The sequence below is a fragment of the Homo sapiens genome, chromosome 6, assembly GCF_000001405.40.
Source record: "Homo sapiens chromosome 6, GRCh38.p14 Primary Assembly".
Lineage (NCBI taxonomy): Eukaryota > Metazoa > Chordata > Mammalia > Primates > Hominidae > Homo > Homo sapiens.
This window is the reverse complement of record NC_000006.12, coordinates 118,562,534-118,582,403: the sequence shown is the minus strand read 5'-3', so window position 1 is coordinate 118,582,403 and position 19,870 is coordinate 118,562,534. Positions and strand designations below refer to the sequence as shown.

Here is a 19,870-nt window from a genome sequence, read left to right as displayed (position 1 = left end):
AGTGAGGGTCTGACTTAGCAGCAACATAACATCCCTCTATGTGAGATCAAACACCTGAGTTAAATTTTGGAAAATTTCTATATACTTATCGGAGTCATCAGAAAATTGGGCCAAGTCTCTGTTTATTTGCTTAAGGTCCTGTAATGAGAAGGAAACTTGAACCCTCATGGCACCATTCCTATCAGCCATTTCCTGCAGAGGTAAGAATGAAGCGGGGAGAGTAGGATATACTGGAGATAGTGGAGCTGGAGGAGCTGATAGTATGATTGGAGGGGGACTGGAAGGATTGGGACATTCAATAGCTGTTTCAGATTGCTCCTCTGGAACCTGCTTTAGCTCTGGGGAACGATTCCCTGTGGCCGCTAAAAGAACTGGGTCAATTGTACAGAACTTGTAAAGGTCTGGGCTGTTTCACAGGGCAAAGAAAGTCTGTACATAGGGGATCTCAGTCCATTTGCCCTTCTGTTTGGAGAAAAGATCTAACTGTTGGATAATATTAAAATCAAGGCTCCCCGCAGCGGGCCAGGTTTATCTGTCCCCAAGATAGTAAGAAGGCTATGCTCTTGTGCAATAGAATATGAGTCACTTTTTTTTCAAAGTCTCAGGGTTGAAGGAGTCCCAGTGCTTTAAAATACATTCCAGAGGAGTGCATGCTGAAGACGATCTGTTGGCCATCTAGAAAGAGAAGTGAGAATAAAAGTGTCCTTTTAGTCTCCTTCCTTTTGGTGTATGACTCAGGGTGGAGAAGAAAACAGTAGGGGGCATTCCTCTAACTAGTCTCCCTCCCTGGTTCCTGGGTCCCGGCACCCAGTTAAATGTGCCGCCTGTGGCTGTAGGTGTGACCCTCCAAGCCATGGCACCAGAGAAACTAGACTTTTGAGGCCTAGTCACACTTACCCAAGTAGTCCCAGTCCTCTGCTTGTTATTTCCCTTTGACCTCCTAGACTTGTGTGACCTGTGTACCTCCCTAAAAAAAAATGGATCTCAGGGAAAACTGTGTAATTGGGGAAGGCCCCTTTAATGGAGGGGTTATGCTAGATTGAACTCTATATCCTGCTATTATGGCCCATGCTAAAGCATTTACCCTTAGAAAAATGGTTTCAGTTAACTTCCAGACTTAAAATCCCCTTACTAATTAAGTACTGTCTCTGTTGGAGACAGAATAGGTGACTTAAAGAAATGTAGGAACCAAATGGCTGTTTTCCTGCTGATGGGACAATATTGAGACTAAAATTTGGCTATGGAAGACATTTAATTTCTAACTGTTGAAAGCAGAATTTTCCCATTCCTGGAAGAGGCTTAGAGCCTGATTTCTAGCAGTGCAAAAGGAAGCTGCAGTGTTAGCATTAAAAAAAGTGCCTCATGTAGAGGATTTCTGTTTCCTCTAGGTGGCACTGTTGGCTTAGAAATACTGTGTGCTCCTCAGACAAGCGGTAGAGAGACCTGGAAATGCCGTGTGCTCTCCAGACCAAGGGGCTGAGAGAGAGAGGCTCACTGTCCCGGAGGAACCCTCTGTTCAGGAGATTGCAATGGCATTCTTGAGTTAAACTCCCGGTTACTAAATTCCCACACAGTTGACACATACACACAGAGTAAGAGACCACAGATAGAAAAGGAAGGAAAGTTTCATGACCGGATAGCTGAGGATTCTCTGCCAGCACCTGAAATGGGCTGTTGGAGGCTGGGTCTGGTCCAGAGGTCTTTGAGTCACACCAGGGTGTGCCCTGCCCAGAGATGCTCAGTTGCCTCAGAACTTTTCCCAGCCTTGCGCAACGGCGAGGTCTCCCCATGAAAGGAAGCTGATTCGAAATACGGCCAACATTCCCAATCACCTGTGGGTATTGGGGGGTTCTCCATGTTCTCACCAGCAAGCCTCACATCTGAGTCTTTAGAACAGCAGCCAACGATAAGTGTAGCTAACCAGCAGACAGATAGATGCCTTTTGATTGATTTGATTTGATTTTAAAATAGAGGCCAAGAGCACCTCAGAATGATAGAACAGATTTTAAGCTCGCTTGTATAATCACCACTTCAGTGAATGTTGTACCTCGGATTCCCGGCCAGTGCACCAAAATGATACGACTCTGATGACTGGAGGGGAATACCAGGGTCCTTTTCTCACGCCAGTTTAAATACGACGACATGGATATACGTGGAGTGGTTTTAAGGAGCGGAGAGAGTTTAATAAATCGGCAAGAAAGAAGGAAGGGGCTCCCCCATACAGAGACAGAGGGAGGGGGCTCCAAGCTGAGAGAGGGAACCCTGAGTGCAGCAGAAAACAGCCATTTATATTAGGAGGCTGGAGGAGCTGGTGTCTGATTTGCATAGAGTCCAGGGGATTGGGTTGACCAGGTATGTCATTCATGTAGCCCACAAAAATCTGGTCCTCCCACCCTAGCCTTTTAATATGCAAATGCAGGGCACCATGATGTTCTACACACGTGGGGATATGTGGGGGTGGCCATGATGCTAGGCACTTGTAGTGACAAGAAGAAGGTGGGAATTGCCATATTGAGTGGACCCAGTTTCTAATGGCTGGCATTTGCATATCAAAGCTTGCTGGCCCGCCCTTCAGGCCATTTTTCTGCTATGCAAGAAATGTATCTGGAGCTGCCTTAAAAGAAAAGAAACTTGCCAAGGACCCCTTGTCTTCTCTATCTGCCTAAAATAATTTCTTAATAACTCCTATAACATAGGGAGATTATTGACTCCATATCTCTCCAAACAGTGCAGGTAGATTAAGGACCAGATTATCATTTATTATCTGTCCTATCATAAAGTAATAGTTTTATTTCTAAGAAACTTTGTGTTTTCAAAACTTACATCCCATGATAGTTTGATTTGTAAAAATTTTTGTAGGAGAGAAGTAACACTTACAGCTCTCTACAGGTCAACTGCCTGATGAGACTTAATCTTAAGTTGAAACTAGTGTGAGATGTCCAGAAAATAGTAGAGTTGAATGAAATTTTAAAAGGCAGGCAAGAAAAAAATTCTAATTTTTTTTGGTAAATGTAAAAAGTCACTGTTTTTTTTTTTTTCTGACCAGCTTCCCGCCCGTCCCCACCCCTTGACCAAATTGGAAAATATTTTATTTTGAATTGTTGACCTCTTTGAACCATACATCAAATTGTCCTTTAAATTGGCAGTAATCTGGCTAGAGATCAGAATGCCTGTTTTTTTGTTTTTTGATTTTTAAAAACAGCTTTTCAGCCAGGCGTGGTGGCTCACACCTGTAATCCCAACACTATGGGAAGCCAAGGCAGGCAGATTGCTTGAGCCTAAGAGTTCAAGACCAGCCTTGGTATCATGGTGAAACAATGTCTCTACAATAAATACAAATATTAGCTGGGTGTTGTGGCACATGCCTGTAGTCCCAGCTACTTGGGGGGCTGAGATGGGAGTATTTCTAGAGCTTGGGAGGTTGGGGCTACAGTGAGCCAAGATCACACCATTGCACACCAGCCTGGGTGACAGAGTGAGACTTTGTCTCAAAAAAACTCAAACAAAAAACCAGTGTTAGAAACAAGTGCTCGGTGCCGCAAAGAAGAACTAGCACTCAGGCAAAAAGTTTTCTCAGCAAGGCAATTTACTTCTACAGAAGGGTGCTGCCTGCATCAGTCACGCTCGCGAGAGCACACCGAACAAAAGAGAGGATTTTTATTTATTTATTTTTTTTGAGATGGAGTCTTGCCCGGTCACCAGGCTGGAGTGCAGTGGCGCGGTCTCGGCTCATGGCAACGTCCGCCTCCTGGGTTCAAGTCATTCTCCTGCCTCAGCCTCCTGAGTAGCTGGGATTACAGGCGCCCACCACCACGCCCAGCTAATTTTTGTATTTTTAGTAGAGACAAGTTTCACCATGTTGGCTGGGATGGTCTCAATCTCCTGACCTCGTGATCCGCCCGCCTCAGCCTCCCAAAGTGCTGGGATTACAGGCGTGAGCCACCGCTCCCGGCCAAAGGGTTTTTATTCCTAACACAGTTCCTGTTTCTGTGTCCTTTCCCCATTGGCTAGGGTTGGACCAAACAATCTAAATTAACCCAATTGGCTAAGACTTAAACCTTTCTAAATATGGTGAACACGCAGTTTGCTAAGAGAGGAGGGGAGGGAGAGACTGTCTGTTGCTAAGGTGGGAAGAGTTGCCTACAGAATAAGTTTAAGGGGTGTTTGGACATGTCTGGGTGTGACAGAGATGTTTACGGAGTAAGAGGTTTGCTAGTTACAGATTAAGCTGAGGAACAAGTGCTCGTTACAGATCAAGCAGGAAGGGCTGTGTACAGAGCAAGAGACCAAGGGAACTTTGAAGAGGAACTTACTGTCCTTAACAGTTTCCCTCTCTTGATTTTATAGTTCTTCCCCTTCAAATTTCTTTAACATATTTTAGATTTGTTGTTCCTCTTGGTCATTTAGGAGTACGAACTTATGTGAGTAGGGCAGGGGAGAATCATGAGGGGTTTTGGTGAAGGCTTTTTCTATAAGCCTTTGCACTAATCCACGAATACAAGGTATGATGCAGCAACCTACAAGAATGAGTACACCTATAATAATTGCAAGGGGAGTAAAGGTTATGAGTCCCTTCCATTTTCTAAACCATTTTTCCGTGAGACTAGAGAAGAATTCTAGAATTCTATTTTAGAATTTTTGGCTAATTCATTTGCTAGGGTGTTAAGGCTCTGTAAGCATTGGGCCCCAATTATGACACAGACCCCACCTTTTTCAGCTAATATTTTGTTCAGGGCTATTCTGTTTTCCCAGGCCATCTGGCTGGTAGAACTTAATTGTTCAGCTGTTCCTTTAATGGCATTCCTAGTATAACTGACAAACTGCTGTTGATTATGGTAAATGTAATTTATCCAGTTTACATTTTTCTTTATAGTTACCCACGAGAACAATACAGATTCAAATCCTGCAGCGATTTGATTTTGGGCTTTAAATTCATTTGGCACCCCTTGTGGAACTCTGATGGCATCTATATAAATGTGAGGGTCAAAGGACCCGTGGGGGGTACTTCTTTTTTCACGATTGTCCTTTTTGCTTAGTTGATGAAATGCCAGAGTGAAAGGGATTGCCAATTGGATTAGAGCGCAAGTGCCGCTCCAGTTACTTGGCAGAGTATCCAATAGTGGTCCACTGCAATACCACCATACATCTGCTTGGGGATGAACAAGGGCAGACTGATTGGTTAGCTGTTGAAAAGGCTTAGATTCACTGCATCCCATTAGACTCCCAAGGAATGCCAAATTTTCCCCTTGCCGTGAGAGACACGAGGTGAAATTGATATTTGTAGTACGGGGTTGGATAGCCCTCAGGGGCCGACCTGCAGGGCTTTTCACTTCTAGGAATAGCAGCAAGAGGGTTTGACATGCCTTACTGCCCCAGGCTGTGGGATTTTGGAAGAGGGCTACCATACAGTTCATGCCCGGTTGATCAGAGGATCAATCAAGTGGAAAGGGGACAGTTTGGGTTTCTGGCCTACCTGTCGCACAAGCGTAACAATCGCTTTTGTTTAGCGTGCAGATGGAATATTTAATCTATTCCAGCCAGGCATTTGCATCTTGGTACCGTGTTTCAATGGCTATGGTTTGCTTTAGATCTTTAATTTTTACAATGGATAAGTACTGGATTGCAATGATTAGATTGACAGTCAGAAGGGGTGGCCCCTTTGGTGAAGTGTAGGTATGGTTTTAGGGCAGTGCCCTAAAACTGCCCACTGAGACCATAACCCCCAATTGCCTAACTCTTCCTCTGAGGATTCCCCCCATATGCAAGACACAGGAGTATTAACTCTTTCCACAGAGGGGCAGAAGTACTTTTCTGTACAAGCTAACTGTCTTTGACTTTGGAGATCTCCACAAGGTAAGACTAGACAAGCATAGTTACATTAACAGTAAGATATCCTTGAGTAGCTAAGGGGAGAAGAAAAAGACAAACCCGTTTGAATGTTAGTTTTGAGGCTGTTGGTCCTGGAGTGATGGTCCATGACTTTGCCAGAGGTGGGGCCTTCTTCACTTGTGTGGTGGGTTCACCCTTTTTCGGCTTTCCGGAGTGCTATTTCAGTTGTTAGGAGTACCAGGTAAGGTCCTTCCCAGGTGGGTTTGAGCTTTCCCTCTTTCCAACCTTTGACAAGGATGTAATCTCGCTAGGAGGCCTTGAGTCCTGAGGGAGGAAAGAGACAGACAGGCTAAGGTCTTTTTGAGGGGGGCAGTTTGGATTCTTGGTAAGGCAATAGGAAGGCATCTTGTCCATGGTAACCAGGTTTCCAGAATTAATTTGGTTAGGTGATTTTTTAGATTTTGGTTCATTTTTTTTTCTACTTTCCCTGATGAGGACAGATGCCAGGGAGTATAATATTCCCATTTTATTTCTAGTGCCTGGGTATGATATGTTCTAACAGGGCTTTGACTACATTACTGGCTGTTGTCCTTGGGAAGGGGAGAGCTTCTACCCAGTGGGTAAGGTGGTCTACTATTACTAGTAAATACTTGAGGCGGCCTGTTGGGGGCATTTCAGTATAGTCAACTTGGATGCTTTGGCATGGCCTTAACCCTGGATTTCTTCCCCCGGGAGGTTTTTTTTTTAGGGTTTACTCATTAGTTTTTCTGCACACTATGCAACTATCCACTACTTGCTTAGCGAGGGTTTGTATTCCTATGTACCCATAGACTCTAAGGACTGCATCACATATAGCTTGAGGACCCCAATGAGTTCCTTGATGAAGCTGAGACAGTATTTCTCTCAAGAGGTTTAGACAACATTTCCCTTCCATCTGGTAATACACACTTTCCTTCTGTGTTTTCTTCAGCTCCTAATTTTTTCTGCATTTGCTTGAAGTGGGGAGGGAAGTTAGAGGTGTTTGGCGGGGGAAGGTGATCTAAAGGGTAAGTAGTTTCTGGCTTGTCTCCTGTAGTTTTTAGGGGATATAGGATGACAGGCACTTGCCGCCAACACAGGGCATAGTTTATTTCCTCCTGGGAAACAGGACTTTTGTCATTGACATATTCTATTAAAAGTTGACAAATCCAGTCCTAACTGGATTCAAACCTTGGCCAGAAAACTGAATGTTTGAGAGTAGGTTCTTTGGTTTAAATAAAGCAACAATATTTTATTATTTGTTGCTTCTTTTTATGTTTGGTGCTTTCATTTTCTCTCCAATATTTTAACATGAGACCTAGAGAGCTATCAGAGGGAATTATATTGTCTGTCTTTTCCTTTTGATTCCCTGCCTTGTCTGGGGTATTTCCCATCCTGGAAGTTTTAGGTGCTTCCTGAGTTTTCCTGAGTCAGTGGAGCTCAACCTCTCCTAATAGAAATTTCTTGCACCCTTTCTCTACGGCTCAACTCGAGTTTCTTGTGTGTGTATGGGGCTCAACCTCTGTTTACTAGAGATTTCTTGCACCTTTTCCCTAGAGGCTCACCACTGCCCCCGCCCCCCAACCAACTGGAGGTTTCTTGCACTCCTTTGCTTTCACTTCTTCCTTCTCTGGTCACTTCCCTCGCAGGAATTTAGGTTGGTATAAACCCTCGACAGGAAAGCTACCCTAAGGCATATCAGGTGACCATGGAACCATGGATCTGGACTCCACACTCGCTTCGCACTTAATTGTATGTCTCATTCACACACTTTCAACCTCCAGGATGTCCCCACCACCAAGGAAGTACTCCTGCTGCCCCCTGGCTTTTCCTACTTTGGTCTGTGCACAGAGTTACCTTGTCGCCGTGGTATCTGTACTGTAGGCTTTTTCTTCCTGTGTTGCCGAGAGTCCAGGTTTATTCTTCACACTGGGTGGGTTCTGATTCCTTACCCCTGAGGCCACCGCAGTGAGGCAGCAGGACATGTCTCCTTATGAGAGGTGATTGGAGACCCTTTCCCGGAGGAGAATGATATCCCAGATGGGTAATTCTTTGCTCAGTGCTACAAAGAAGAACCAGCACTCAGGCAAAACGTTTTCTCAGCAAGGCAATTTACTTCTGCAGAAGGGTGGTGCCTGCGTCAGTAACGATCGCAAGAGCACATTGAACAAAGGAGAGAAGGGTTTTTATCCCTAATGCAGTTCCTGTTTCTGTGTTATTTCCCCATTGGCTGGGGTCGGACCAAACCATCTAAACTAACCTGACTGGCTAAGACTTAAACTTTTCTAACTATGGTGAACATGCAATTTGCTAAGAGAGGAGGGGAGGAGGAGATTGTTGCTAAGGTGGGAAGAGTTGCCTACAGAACAAGTTCAAGGCATGTCTGGACATGTCTGGGCTGACAAAGAGTTGTTTACAGAGTAAGAGGTTTGCTAGTTACAGATTACGCTGAGGAACACATGCTCATTACAGATTGAGCAGGAAGGGCTGTGTACAAAGCAAGAGACCAAGGGAGCTTTGAAGAAGAACTTATTGTCCTTAACACCAGCTTTTCATCTTGCTTTATGTAAGCATATAAGAATAAATTTCTTAGTTTGTTATTAATGGTTGCTAAGAGACAGTGTACAAGGTCATGAAGATTTCTTTTATGAATTTTATTTAGTTTCTTCTAAGAGTTTTATAGTTTTAGCTGTTACATTTAGGCCTATTGATTCATTTGAATTAATATTCATGGGTGCTATGAAATAGGGGTCTAACTTTATTCTTTTGCCTGTGGCTATCCAGTCACACCATCTCTACGTATCTTCTGGTTTTTAATATAGAAATTATAATATATACCCATCTATAATGGTATAATATATACCCATCTATCTATAATGGTAATCAGAATCTTTATTCTCTACTGGTAAATATGAGGACTATAAAACGTTGGAATACCAGTCACCCCTGTTGTGAGTTATATGTCATGGTTGCTAAGTATATATATTTTTACTTTTAACCACATGTTAGATATTGTTTTTATTGTTGTATGCATTGTTACTGTTTTTTAGATTTAATCACAAGTTTACCATTTGTCTCTTTGCTCTTCCTTTTTTCAACTCAGAATTCATTATTCATTATTCTGAAATAAACTCAAGGAACTTTAGCAGTTCTTTCAGTGAGTCTCCAAATTCTGTTTTTGCTTAGCTGAAAATATATTTTTCTATCTGGAAAGACAGTTTAGTTTCCCTGCAAAAACAATTTTTGGATGTCAGTTATTTACCCAACCCTTTGAAGATATTAGTCCATTGTGTTCTGGATTCCATTATTGCTGTTGAGAAGTTGGCTATCATTGATAGTTGTTTTATTAATAGTTTGCCCTTTCTCCATGGCTCACCACTTCTCATTGTCTGATGTTTTGCAGTTTCTTCATGAGCTTTAGTCCTGCTCTGCAGCTGTGAAATGTAAGCCCTTAGGGGAAGGCCTGATTCATATTATTATTATTATTTTTTTTGGAGACGGAGTATCACTCTTGTTACCCAAGCTGGAGTGCAATGGCACAGTCTTAGCTCACTGCAACCTCTGCCTCCTGGGTTCAAGTGATTCTCCTGCCTCAGCCTCCCGAGTAGCTGGTATTAGAGGCGTGCACCACTGCGCCCGGCTAATTTTTTGTATTTTTAGTAGAAATGGGTTTTACCATGTTAGCCAGGCTGGTCTCTAACTCCTGACCTCAGGTGATCTGCCCGCCTCGGCCTCCCAAATTGCTGGGATTACAGGCGTGAGCCACCGCACCCGGCCTCATATTTTTATTGAGATTAATATGTTTGTATTGTCTTTTCTACCTAGCATAATGCCTTGTACATGATACATTCCTAGGAGACTCTTTAGATGAATTACTTTATATAGCCCCACTCCTAGCAGTGTGTGGTTTAGAATATTAAAATATATTTACCTAAAAATATAGAGAATACTTTGAAATATTTATTTATTTGTTTATTTATTTATTTGAGACAGAGTCTCGCTCTGTCTCCAGACTGGAGTGCAATGGCGCAATCTCAGCTCACTGCAACCTCTGCCTCCCGGGTTCAAGTGAATCTCCTGCCTCAGCCTCCCAAGTAGCTGGGACTACAGGCGCCCACCAGGACACCCTGCTAATTTTTTTGTGTTTGTTTTTTGTTTTTTTCTAAGTAGAGACGGGGTTTCACGATGTTGGCCAGGATGGTCTTGATATCTTGACCTCGTCACCTGGCAACTTTGGCTTCCCAAAGTGCTAGGAATACACCTTTTTTTTTTTTTTTTTTTTTTAAAGAATGGGTTACATGTGGCATAACATGTTTTTTTTTTCCTATGTAACATGATATGATCATGGCGTTAGCAGGAAGGGAAAAAAAACTCATTGTGTTGTATAAAAATTATTACCTGGGCCAGGAGTGGTGGCTTCCGCCTGTAATCCCAGCACTTTGGGAGGGCAAGGCGGGCAGATCACATGAGGTTGGGAGTTCGAGACCAGCCTGACCAACATGGAGAAACCCCGTCTCTACTAAAAATACAAAGTTAGCCAGGTGTGGTGGTGCTTGCCTGTAATCCCAGCTACTCAGGAGGCTGAGGCAGGAGAATCGCTTGAACCTGGGAGGCAGAGGTTGTGGTGAGCTGAGATTGTTCCCTTGCACTCCAGCCTGGGCAACAAGAGCAAAACTGTCTCCAAGAAAACAAAACAAAACAAAATTATTGCCTTTGTGGTTAGGGTTAACAATTTTATTTAAAAAATAAAATATTTGTTATAATATTTTATGTTGACTGATAAGTATGAAAATGTTATTTTAAATCAGTGTTTTGATACAGGGTTATATAGTTTACTGATTATTTTTTAAACTGTGAAGACTGATGATTTATTCTTTAATGTAGATCTGGAGGGTGGGAGTGGTCTTTTTTTGCATTTAATTCCTTATTACTATCAGAAGGATAGAGCAGACAGAGAGAGAGAGAGAGATACCATCCCTGTATATAAGAGAAGATAGAATCAATGTTTTCATTTAATACCAGATGAGAATAACATGATAGCGAAACAGAAGATTGGGATTTTGTTTGGAATTGAGAAATATGCTGTCTTAAATACAACTCACTTGCATTATCAGACTATATCAGCGTCCCTTTCTTATATTCTGGCCTTTAAAACTTAAATCTGTCTGAAACCATTAGCTCATCTATGCCTACTGTCAATGCTATAAGCCACATTCTTGTTTTTAAAAGGACTACCCTCTGTTGGTTTCAGATATCACTGTTGTGACTTAGATGTGGGATAGATAGTAATAACTTGCATTTGGGATTTGTGGCTACAATTAGGTAGCCTAATCAAGCACATTAGGAATTGCATTATATCTACCTCTAATTAACTGTGTTTCCTCAGGGTAAAATAACATTTTTAAGTGTTGAAATTGTTAAAGTTAACATTTTCTAGACTCATTTCTAAGGTATAATAATGACCCTTTTCCCACCTAGATATTCATACTGGGGGAAAATATTCTTTGTTCATATATTCTTAAATATTTAATTTAAAAATTTTAATTCTTATATTTAATTCTCTTATAAATACTAAATATTTAATTCTTTCAAATAATTCTTTTTTCATTTATTCATATGTTGTGTGTGCATGTGTGTGTGTGTGCATATGTATGTCAGTAGACTAAGCTTTGATCCTTAGTTTTGACAGTAATGAATTCTGAATGTCACAGTTAATCAGATTTTACACTAGAACTCAGATACTGGTTATGGTTGAACTTGGGATATTTAAGCTTAAAGCCTTCAGAACTGGAATCAGACCCATATGGAATGATGTTATAGTAAATGAAGCAGCAAAATCACTTATTTAGAAGTGGTATTTCCTAGGCCCTTCTCTACTCTTACTGGATCATAATCTCTTGGAGTAGGGCACCAGCTCTCAGGCAACTTTTTTTATGCCAAGATTTGAGAATTTGTAATAAGGGAATTTTAGGAATAAATTCTATATTCAGTATCATAGTCTATGGACAGCATATATCAGCTGCTTTCAGATTTAGGGAATAAACACTAGTCTGATGTGAAATTGATTTTTCACTCATTGCTGATTTTTCTTTGCATTTGGAAAGTACTGAGTTAGTAAAGGCAGATTGGAAAGTAGCCCATTACTGGATACAAGAAGCAGCCAAACTGGGTCTTAGAGGATTCCGCTGTGATATGGAAAGTGAGACAATTACCTATTTATTATTCATACTTTAGAAGTATTTTAAACTCTTTTGAGGTCACAGAACAACAAAATACCTTTGCAGAAGTTTGACCATATGGTCAAGTTATATTCCTTGGAAGCAATTAAAATAAGACATTGTATAAAGTAAAATGTGGAAGTATTTTTCTCCTTTTGCCCCCTTTCCACTATGTAGAGGTTACCTTTGTTTATTAAGTTTTGTGTGTATTCTTTCGGATCTTTTCTCTGCTAATGAATGTATATGTATTTATATATAGATATGCACGCATCTACATATCTAGATATGTATGTTCACATATGTGTATTCATATTTTAAACAGTGATATGTACAAATTGCCTCCCTTCTTTCAAAGACTATAACAGTTTGTGTTCCCATTACTGTAGTATATTTGCAGCCTTTAATAGTTTTCTGAATATGATAGAGAATGTATCTTTACTATTAGTGCGTTTGAGGATTTTTAAAAAATATATATTCTCTAGTTGTGTTTCTTGTTTATTTACTTATTGAATTTTTTTGGCCTATTTTAAAATTGAGTTGCTAGGTTTTTTTTTTGTTGATTTGTTGAAGCTCTTTATATGTATGGGTATTTAGCCTTTGTCTGTTACATTGAAATTAATATTTACTTGTAGCTTTTTAATGACATCATAATAACTAACATTTTGCTTTCTGCCAGGAATTCTTCTGTGTATTTTATGTGTTTTGATTTAATTCTCACTGTTGTCATCTCCATTGTATGGAGGAGGTAACTAACTATTAAATAACATGTTTGAGCATGCATAACTACTGAGTGATAGAGCCAGAATTTGAATCTAAAAAGGCTGTATGTTTTTTATTTTTTTATTTTTATTTATTTATTTTTTTGAATATATATTTTTATTATACTTTAAGTTCTAGGGTACATATGCACAACGTGCAGGTTTGTTACATATGTATACATGTGCCATGAAAAGGCTGTATATTTTACTCCTTTTTTTTTTTTTTTTTTTTTTTTTTTGAGACAGAGTCTAGCCTTGTCACCCAGGCTGGAGTACAGTGGCACAATCTCTGCTTACTGCAGCCTCCGCCTCACAGGTTCAAGCCATTCTCCTGCCACAGCCTCTTGTGTAGCTGGGATTACAGGCGCCTGCCACCACACCTGGCTAAGTTTTGTATTTTTAGTAGAGATGGAGTTTCATTATTGTTGGTGAAGGTGGTCTTGAACTCCTGACCTCAAGTAATCCGCCTGCCTTGGCCTCCCAAATTGCTGGAATTACAGGTGTGAGCCACTGCCCCCAGCCCTATATTTTACTCTATATAATAGTTTTGAAATTAAAACTGTTATACTTAACCTTTGGTCTGTATTTTTACCTGCAACTTGATACAAGACTAATTTTTTATTTTTTTTAATTTAAAGATATCTTTTAGAGGCTATGATGATTTTAGTATAACTACTCCTTTAGTAATATTAATACAAATATATGTAAAATATATATAATGCTATAATATGTGAATACAAATATTCCATAAACTTTTGGGGACGTCTGTCCTGTTTCTATTTAGAACCAACCCTCAGTAGCATATTCCCCTTTATTTTCTTGTTCTCCTGATTACCAGAATAGTCTGTTAATCACTGTGTTTGCCAGTTGTTTTGCTTTAATCCATTGGCAACTCTGCTGTCAGAATAATCAGTCATCTTAAGTACAATTTTTTTGATCATATCATTCACTCCTTTGTTTGGAAGCTCAGTGATACCACATTTCATGCTGAATGAAGGCCAGGCTCTTTACTTAGCAGAGCGTTTGAAGATGTGTATAATTCTGCTTCACCTTTACCTATCAAGAGTTACCTTGACAACTTTTCTTGGCACTTTAACTCCATACTGTAGATACATGGATTTATTTTTCTTGTTATACAGCCACATTCTTTTGGCTTCATGATTGGACGATTCAGTGTTTTCAGTCAGCAGAAGTTGTTTACTGGCTGGTTGAGCACATAGGAAATTTACTTAAATATATTTGGTGCTTCACAGAATTTTTAGGAAGGCTGGAGAGCCAGGCTTAAGGATAAGCTTCCAAGTAATATGCCTCAAATCATATATGAGAACTGTCAGTCTTCCACCACTAAGCTGTCTAGCTGCTGCCAGTTCTGGGATAGGAATTTTGATTCTGCAGCCACTACGGGGCCACGTCTGTCACTGCTGTTGTGGAAAGGTGATGCCTCTGCTGTTGCCTGTATCACCCAAAAATGGTAGCTCCACACCGAGTCCATTTTATCATGTGACTTACTTCCAAAACTGCAATCTTGTGCTGCTGCCTCTGAATGTCTGCATCATAGTTTCAGGGTGTACTGGGATTTTGAGGTCTGAAATATATTTTGGGAGGGTTGGAGTCAGTAATGTGAGAATTTTCCTAAATGCAGGAAGTTTCTTCAGAAGCTGATAGGCAGTCTTGAATATGATAACTATCCACTACAATACTTCTGTTTATATTCCTTCATTTGTAATGTTTTTCCCTTTTCATGTCCAAGTTAACACATTCTGTGCAAAGACCCACTGGAATTTTATTTTTTGAATAGTCTACCTGGCTCGTTTTAATCTGAATTTTCTTACAACTTTATCAACATAACTTTTTCCATAAGACAATGTAAGAGAATACAAGTAATAAGTATCTTCTGGTATAAGAGTCAAACAGTGTGGGGAGATACAGAATAAATTGCAAAGGTCTCCATCGCTTACTTCCTCCCCACACACCAATTTAAATTGCTACCCCCTTTCTAGATATCCCTTGATTACAAAATTATAGTCTTTGGTTTTAATTTGATATATATGATGATAACATGGCACTTGATGGTAAATTTATTGAGTATTTAAGCCATTATTTATCTTTCAGCCTTTCATTTAGTCTGCTAAAACTATTCATTTGTATAGAAGAGTATGATGTGAGGGCCTGACCTAAAGTAATAGAAACTCAACTATTTTGGAGGTAAAAATGTACAACTTGGGGATTTAATAAATATAGAGAGAAAGGAATAAAAGTAGACTCTAAGGTTCTAGCTTGGGGTGAATATGGATATATATATATATATATATATATATATATATATATATACACACACACACACACACACACACACACACACACACACACATACATATATATTCATACATATATGTACACACATATATATATGCCATTAAATGAGACTGGAAGTGAACCCTTTGGGACTATTTTTCATTATTGCAGGAGCACCTTTACTCATATTTCTCATTTGAATTAGAGTTTGGGGAGGTTCTAAAATGTTTAGATCTGGCATAGATTTTCACAGTTCAGGAAAGACACTGAAAAATACCATTTTTCTGACAAAGTTGTGTCTGAGACTTCATTGCTGGATTATGAATAACACCTCTCAGTAAGGAGTTGGATTTTTCCTTTTAAAGGTACAATACTTTAATTAGGGTAAATATAAACCTATTTTAAATCACTTTTCACCTGTAAGTACAGTAGATGGTGAAAGGCCATATACTCTATTAGGTATCCATATTTAGAAAATCCAATCTGAAACTATGTTGACTTGTTTCAGATAAAAGGATAATAATAATTTACTCATTTTGAGGACGTCTTTTTGAAAAGCTTGTGCTGGGCTGGGCACAGTGGCTCATGCCTGTAATCCCAGCACTTTGGGAGGCTGAGGCAGGCAGATCACCTTAAGTCAGGAGTTCGAGACCAGCCTGCCCAACATGGCAAAGCCCCGTCTCTACTAAAAATACAAAAAATTAGTCGGGCGTGCTGGCAGGCGCCTGGAATCCCTGCTACTCGGGAGGCTGAGGCAGGAGAGTCACTTGAACCCAGGAGGCAGAGATTGCGGTGAGCCGAGATCTTGCCACTGCACTCCAGCCTAGGCAACAAGCTAAAACTACGTCTCAAAAAAAAAAGCTTGTGCTATGAAACCATGTTCAGATATTTCTTTTGGCATATTGCATTTTACCTCATTCTCTTTTGTCTGTTAATTGTAACTAATTTGACCATCTTTTTTCTTTCCAGATCATTCAACTTCAAGTGGCACATTATCTTTTAAGCCTAGTCAATCATTGATTACTCTTCCTACTGCCCATGTGATGCCGTCTAATTCCAGCGCTTCAATTTCCAAACTTAGGGAATCATTGACACCAGATGGCTCAAAATGGAGTACAAGCCTCATGCAAACATTGGGAAACCACAGTAGGGGGGAGCAGGACTCTTCCCTAGACATGAAGGACTTCCGGCCACTTCGGAAATGGTCATCTTTATCCAAACTCACTGCCCCGGATAACTGTGGCCAGGGTGGCACTGTATGCAGAGAAGAGTCAAGGAATGGTTTGGAGAAGATAGGGAAGGCTAAGGCTTTAACATCACAACTGAGGACAATTGGGCCTAGCTGTTTACATGATAGTATGGAGATGCTTAGGTTAGAGGACAAGGAAATAAATAAAAAACGGTCATCAACTCTGGACTGCAAGTATAAATTTGAGAGCTGTAGCAAGGAGGACTTTAGAGCCTCTTCCTCTACTCTTAGGAGACAGCCTGTAGACATGACATATAGTGCCTTACCTGAAAGCAAGCCCATTATGACAAGCTCAGAGGCTTTTGAACCTCCAAAATATTTAATGCTTGGTCAACAGGCAGTAGGTGGAGTTCCCATTCAGCCTTCCGTAAGGACTCAGATGTGGCTTACAGAGCAGCTGCGGACAAATCCTTTGGAAGGTAGAAATACAGAGGATTCTTACAGTTTAGCTCCTTGGCAACAGCAGCAAATTGAAGACTTTCGACAAGGAAGTGAAACACCAATGCAGGTAAGGTGCAAAATCTAGTGTTTGCTTCCCTCCAGTGGATGTTATGAGTACAGTAGCACACTTACAGTAAGCATATAACAAGTGTTCACAGATTGTTTTGCATTTCCTTTTCCCTGCAAGTTAATAGGCAGAAATGTTACAAACCGAAAAGTGTTGTTGATAAACTTGCAAAGCATTTGAGACTAATTAACATGAAAATCTGAAAACCTTGTACCTAGCTTGTTCTTTCCTTTTCATTTGTTAAATGGGCATAAAAATAAAGCAAAACATACTCAATCTAAATAAACTTGGAAACAGAAACAAAAAAGCTAGCATAGGTATAATAGAAAGAGCATCAACTTGGCTATACAAGGTCTTAGATTTTGTGTCTGGTTCTGTTAGATTTAGAACGTGGATGACTTTTTCACTTAATTTCTCTGGGCCTCAGTTTCTTCATCTGTACAATGAGAAGGTGGAACTACAGTCATTTGTAAAGTTTTGGTGATACATGATGTTATTTAGGTTTATAAATCAGATGTACTTTTTTTTAAAAAAAATTATGTGTCAAGGCATTCATTAATCAGCTTATAGAAAGTGCTTTATGATGATATCATATATAAAGAAAAATAGTATACAGCCCCCAGTTGGTCTAGGGAATAGCATGTAAATGTGTAAATTTCTTAATCTGGGAATGTTTCTATTCCAAGACAATTTTCTGTAGCTTGTTTTAACAAGGAAACTAATTTTCTGATATAAGTCCTGTCATCTGTTTTTTATCATCAGAATTTTCTGAAACAAATTAATTCTATAAAAAATTGCAAATTTTCCCTAGAGTAAAAATGTAAAATTGGTATTCATTACTACTACTAATAAAAACAAATAGAATAAATGAACATAGGCTATGAAAGGATAAGGAAATCACTTGTCCAGGAACCTCACAAATATGAGTATGATCTCAAAACATAGAACCCTAACATACTACATTCATAGGAGAACCCTTAACATGTCGCATGTACCTTTATTCTTATTTTAGATACAGTTCTTATAATTTTGATTATGTATTTAAACAACACAATCAAAACAGAAGAATCATTATGATTGAATTAGAAATTTGTGATTTATCCATTCAAGTGATGAAAAATAGGAAACCTAATTTTTCAAATACTGTCAAGTTTTAGTTTTCAAATGTTTGTCATTATAGGAAAACAGAGATCCAGGCAGTTGTTTCTCCAGCTGGTGTCTTTACACAGAATTGGAGCTGTCCAGTGGGGCTGAGTATGCTATTCCAAACTAGAGTAGGTGTGATAGAGATAATTGGGCAAATTTCAAGGAGTAAATACTGATTCATGCTTTTTATTCTGCTTGGACAAATCTCTGGTTTAAACAAGGTGTTTTTCTTAGCCTCAAAGCAATGCAGAGGAGGGTAGGGAGGTTGGGGACACACTGTTGAGATAAATTTGTTTTTAAATCTTCTTTCTAGTGCATAGTAGAGAGAGAAGGCAACTAAAGAGCAAAATTTGCATATACCCTGGAAAGCCCTACTTCTTGATTAACTTTATTTGGGATGGTCTCTTTATAGCGCTTTTAAGTTTTGGAGTAGAAAGATGAATTCAGGTAAAGAAAACTAGACAAACTAAGTTGTAATCATTAAATGACTGCTTCCCTTCTAATTTCCTCCTTAGAAAACTACAGAAAAAAGTTGTTAAATACCTTCTTGGAGCCTCCAAGTAGTATTATCTTTATTTTAAAAGCTTTCATCATAGTTGTTTCTTAAAAGCCTCTTTGAAACATTGACTTCTGGCCAGGCACTGTAGCGCACGCCTGTAATCCCAGCAATTTGGGAGGCCAAGGCAGGAGAATTGCCTGAGTCCAGGAGTTTGAGACTAGCCTGGGCAACATGGCCAGACCCCGTCTCTAAAAAGGAAAAAAGATAAAAATCATAGAAACACTGATTTTCTTTTAGTCTAATTTTTACATAAAGAGAAGAACCTTAATAAGGACCAGGCCGTCTGATAAATTGTGATTTGCAAGCACAACTCCTAAACACTCACCATGAAAAAACAATATTTTTACAACTAAGAAAAGGAATTTGGCTGAAAGTCATAATCTAATAAAACCTTAGATTTATATGTTATAGAATTCTGTAGCTTTCACAGTATTTTATCTCATTTGATTCTCACAGCTCCCCACTCCCCAGGTTAATTTGTAACATTGAAGGTTTGCTCTTCCTAGGACTTAGTCCAGAATAATTATTGAGCCAGACACACATTCTTATGTGTGTGTTGTTCCTTGATTTCCATGGTTTTCTGCTAAATCATCAAGAGTGCAGGAGTGTAGTACTCTGAATCATTTTCCTTTGTGAATGAAAAGAAGCCATTATGCCCTCAGATGGTTTATGACAGAAGGCTCCATGTGTAATGCCTACTGCTAGTCTTTGACTCTTTCCTCGGTAGTACATCACACTTATGCTACCCACCCCCTGCAACCCCTAAGCTGCCTGACTCTATAGGGACTATGACAGAGGAGGAAAAACAGTCTGGTCTTTTTGGGAAGACTCCTTCCCTTTCCATGGCCCCCTTGAGTTCCTTTTCTTGGGGAAGGTAGGGTGGAAGGGATGGAGGATAAACACTTCTACACGTAACGGCAGTATCCATTTGGATTCCTGTAAGCCCACGATGGATCTCCCAGACAGTAGTGAAATAATAGTAGCCTCTTTATTGATGAAGTTGTTTATCCTTTTTTCCCTAGGATGTTTCTGAACTTCAGGTGGCAGTCATTAAAAAGATGAAATTTTGTGCCTATTTAGTCATAAGGGTGTTTGAACAGTTATGGTATTGGCACCTATACATATTTTACTGGAGATTTTCCCTTGTATAAACAAAAAATTTGGACCAAGCATGGTAGCTCACCCCTGTAATCCCAACACTTTGGGAGGCTGATGGGGGGTGGATAGCTTGAGGATAGGAGTTTGGGACCAGCCTGGGCAATGAGACCCCATCTCTACAAAAAATAAAAA

At 39.8% G+C, this 19,870-nt stretch overlaps 1 protein-coding gene and 1 long non-coding RNA gene across 17 annotated transcripts in view, besides 1 other annotated feature; one reads left to right on the top strand and one right to left on the bottom strand.

Moving 5' to 3' along the window:
• CEP85L (centrosomal protein 85L) overlaps positions 1-19,870 on the top strand; it is a 249,318-nt gene that overhangs the window by 127,686 nt on the left and 101,762 nt on the right. For 12 of the 13 annotated variants that reach the window (XM_011535811.2, NM_001178035.2, XM_011535810.3 and 9 more), the window contains one exon: positions 16,088-16,875. In XM_011535811.2, the coding sequence (XP_011534113.1) occupies positions 16,162-16,875 (714 nt within the window). In that variant the 5' untranslated portion in view covers positions 16,088-16,161. Of the gene's footprint in view, positions 1-16,087; positions 16,876-18,367; positions 18,469-19,870 lie in introns of those variants that run through there. The other variant, XM_047418762.1, reaches the window with a different exon arrangement.
• On the bottom strand, positions 106-16,723 carry LOC107986524 (uncharacterized). Of its 4 annotated transcripts, XR_002956384.2 has the most exons (5): positions 16,634-16,722; positions 14,333-14,408; positions 7,705-7,909; positions 5,929-6,153; positions 106-675 (listed from the first exon to the last, which is right to left on the bottom strand). It is a non-coding gene; the product is annotated as an uncharacterized LOC107986524 (long non-coding RNA). The 4 variants fall into 4 exon arrangements; XR_001743819.3 differs by lacking the exon at positions 106-675 and having other exon boundaries at positions 3,569-6,153; positions 13,659-14,408; XR_007059724.1 differs by lacking the exon at positions 106-675 and having other exon boundaries at positions 3,569-6,153.
• Positions 7,438-8,637: an enhancer, noted in NCBI's record as "MED14-independent group 3 enhancer chr6:118894930-118896129 (GRCh37/hg19 assembly coordinates)". NCBI's record gives its function as "activates an origin of replication core promoter dependent on BRD2, BRD4, P300/CBP and CDK7 cofactors, and independent of MED14, by STARR-seq in HCT116 cells {active_cell/tissue: HCT116}" and the evidence as "EXISTENCE:reporter gene assay evidence [ECO:0000049][PMID:35650434]".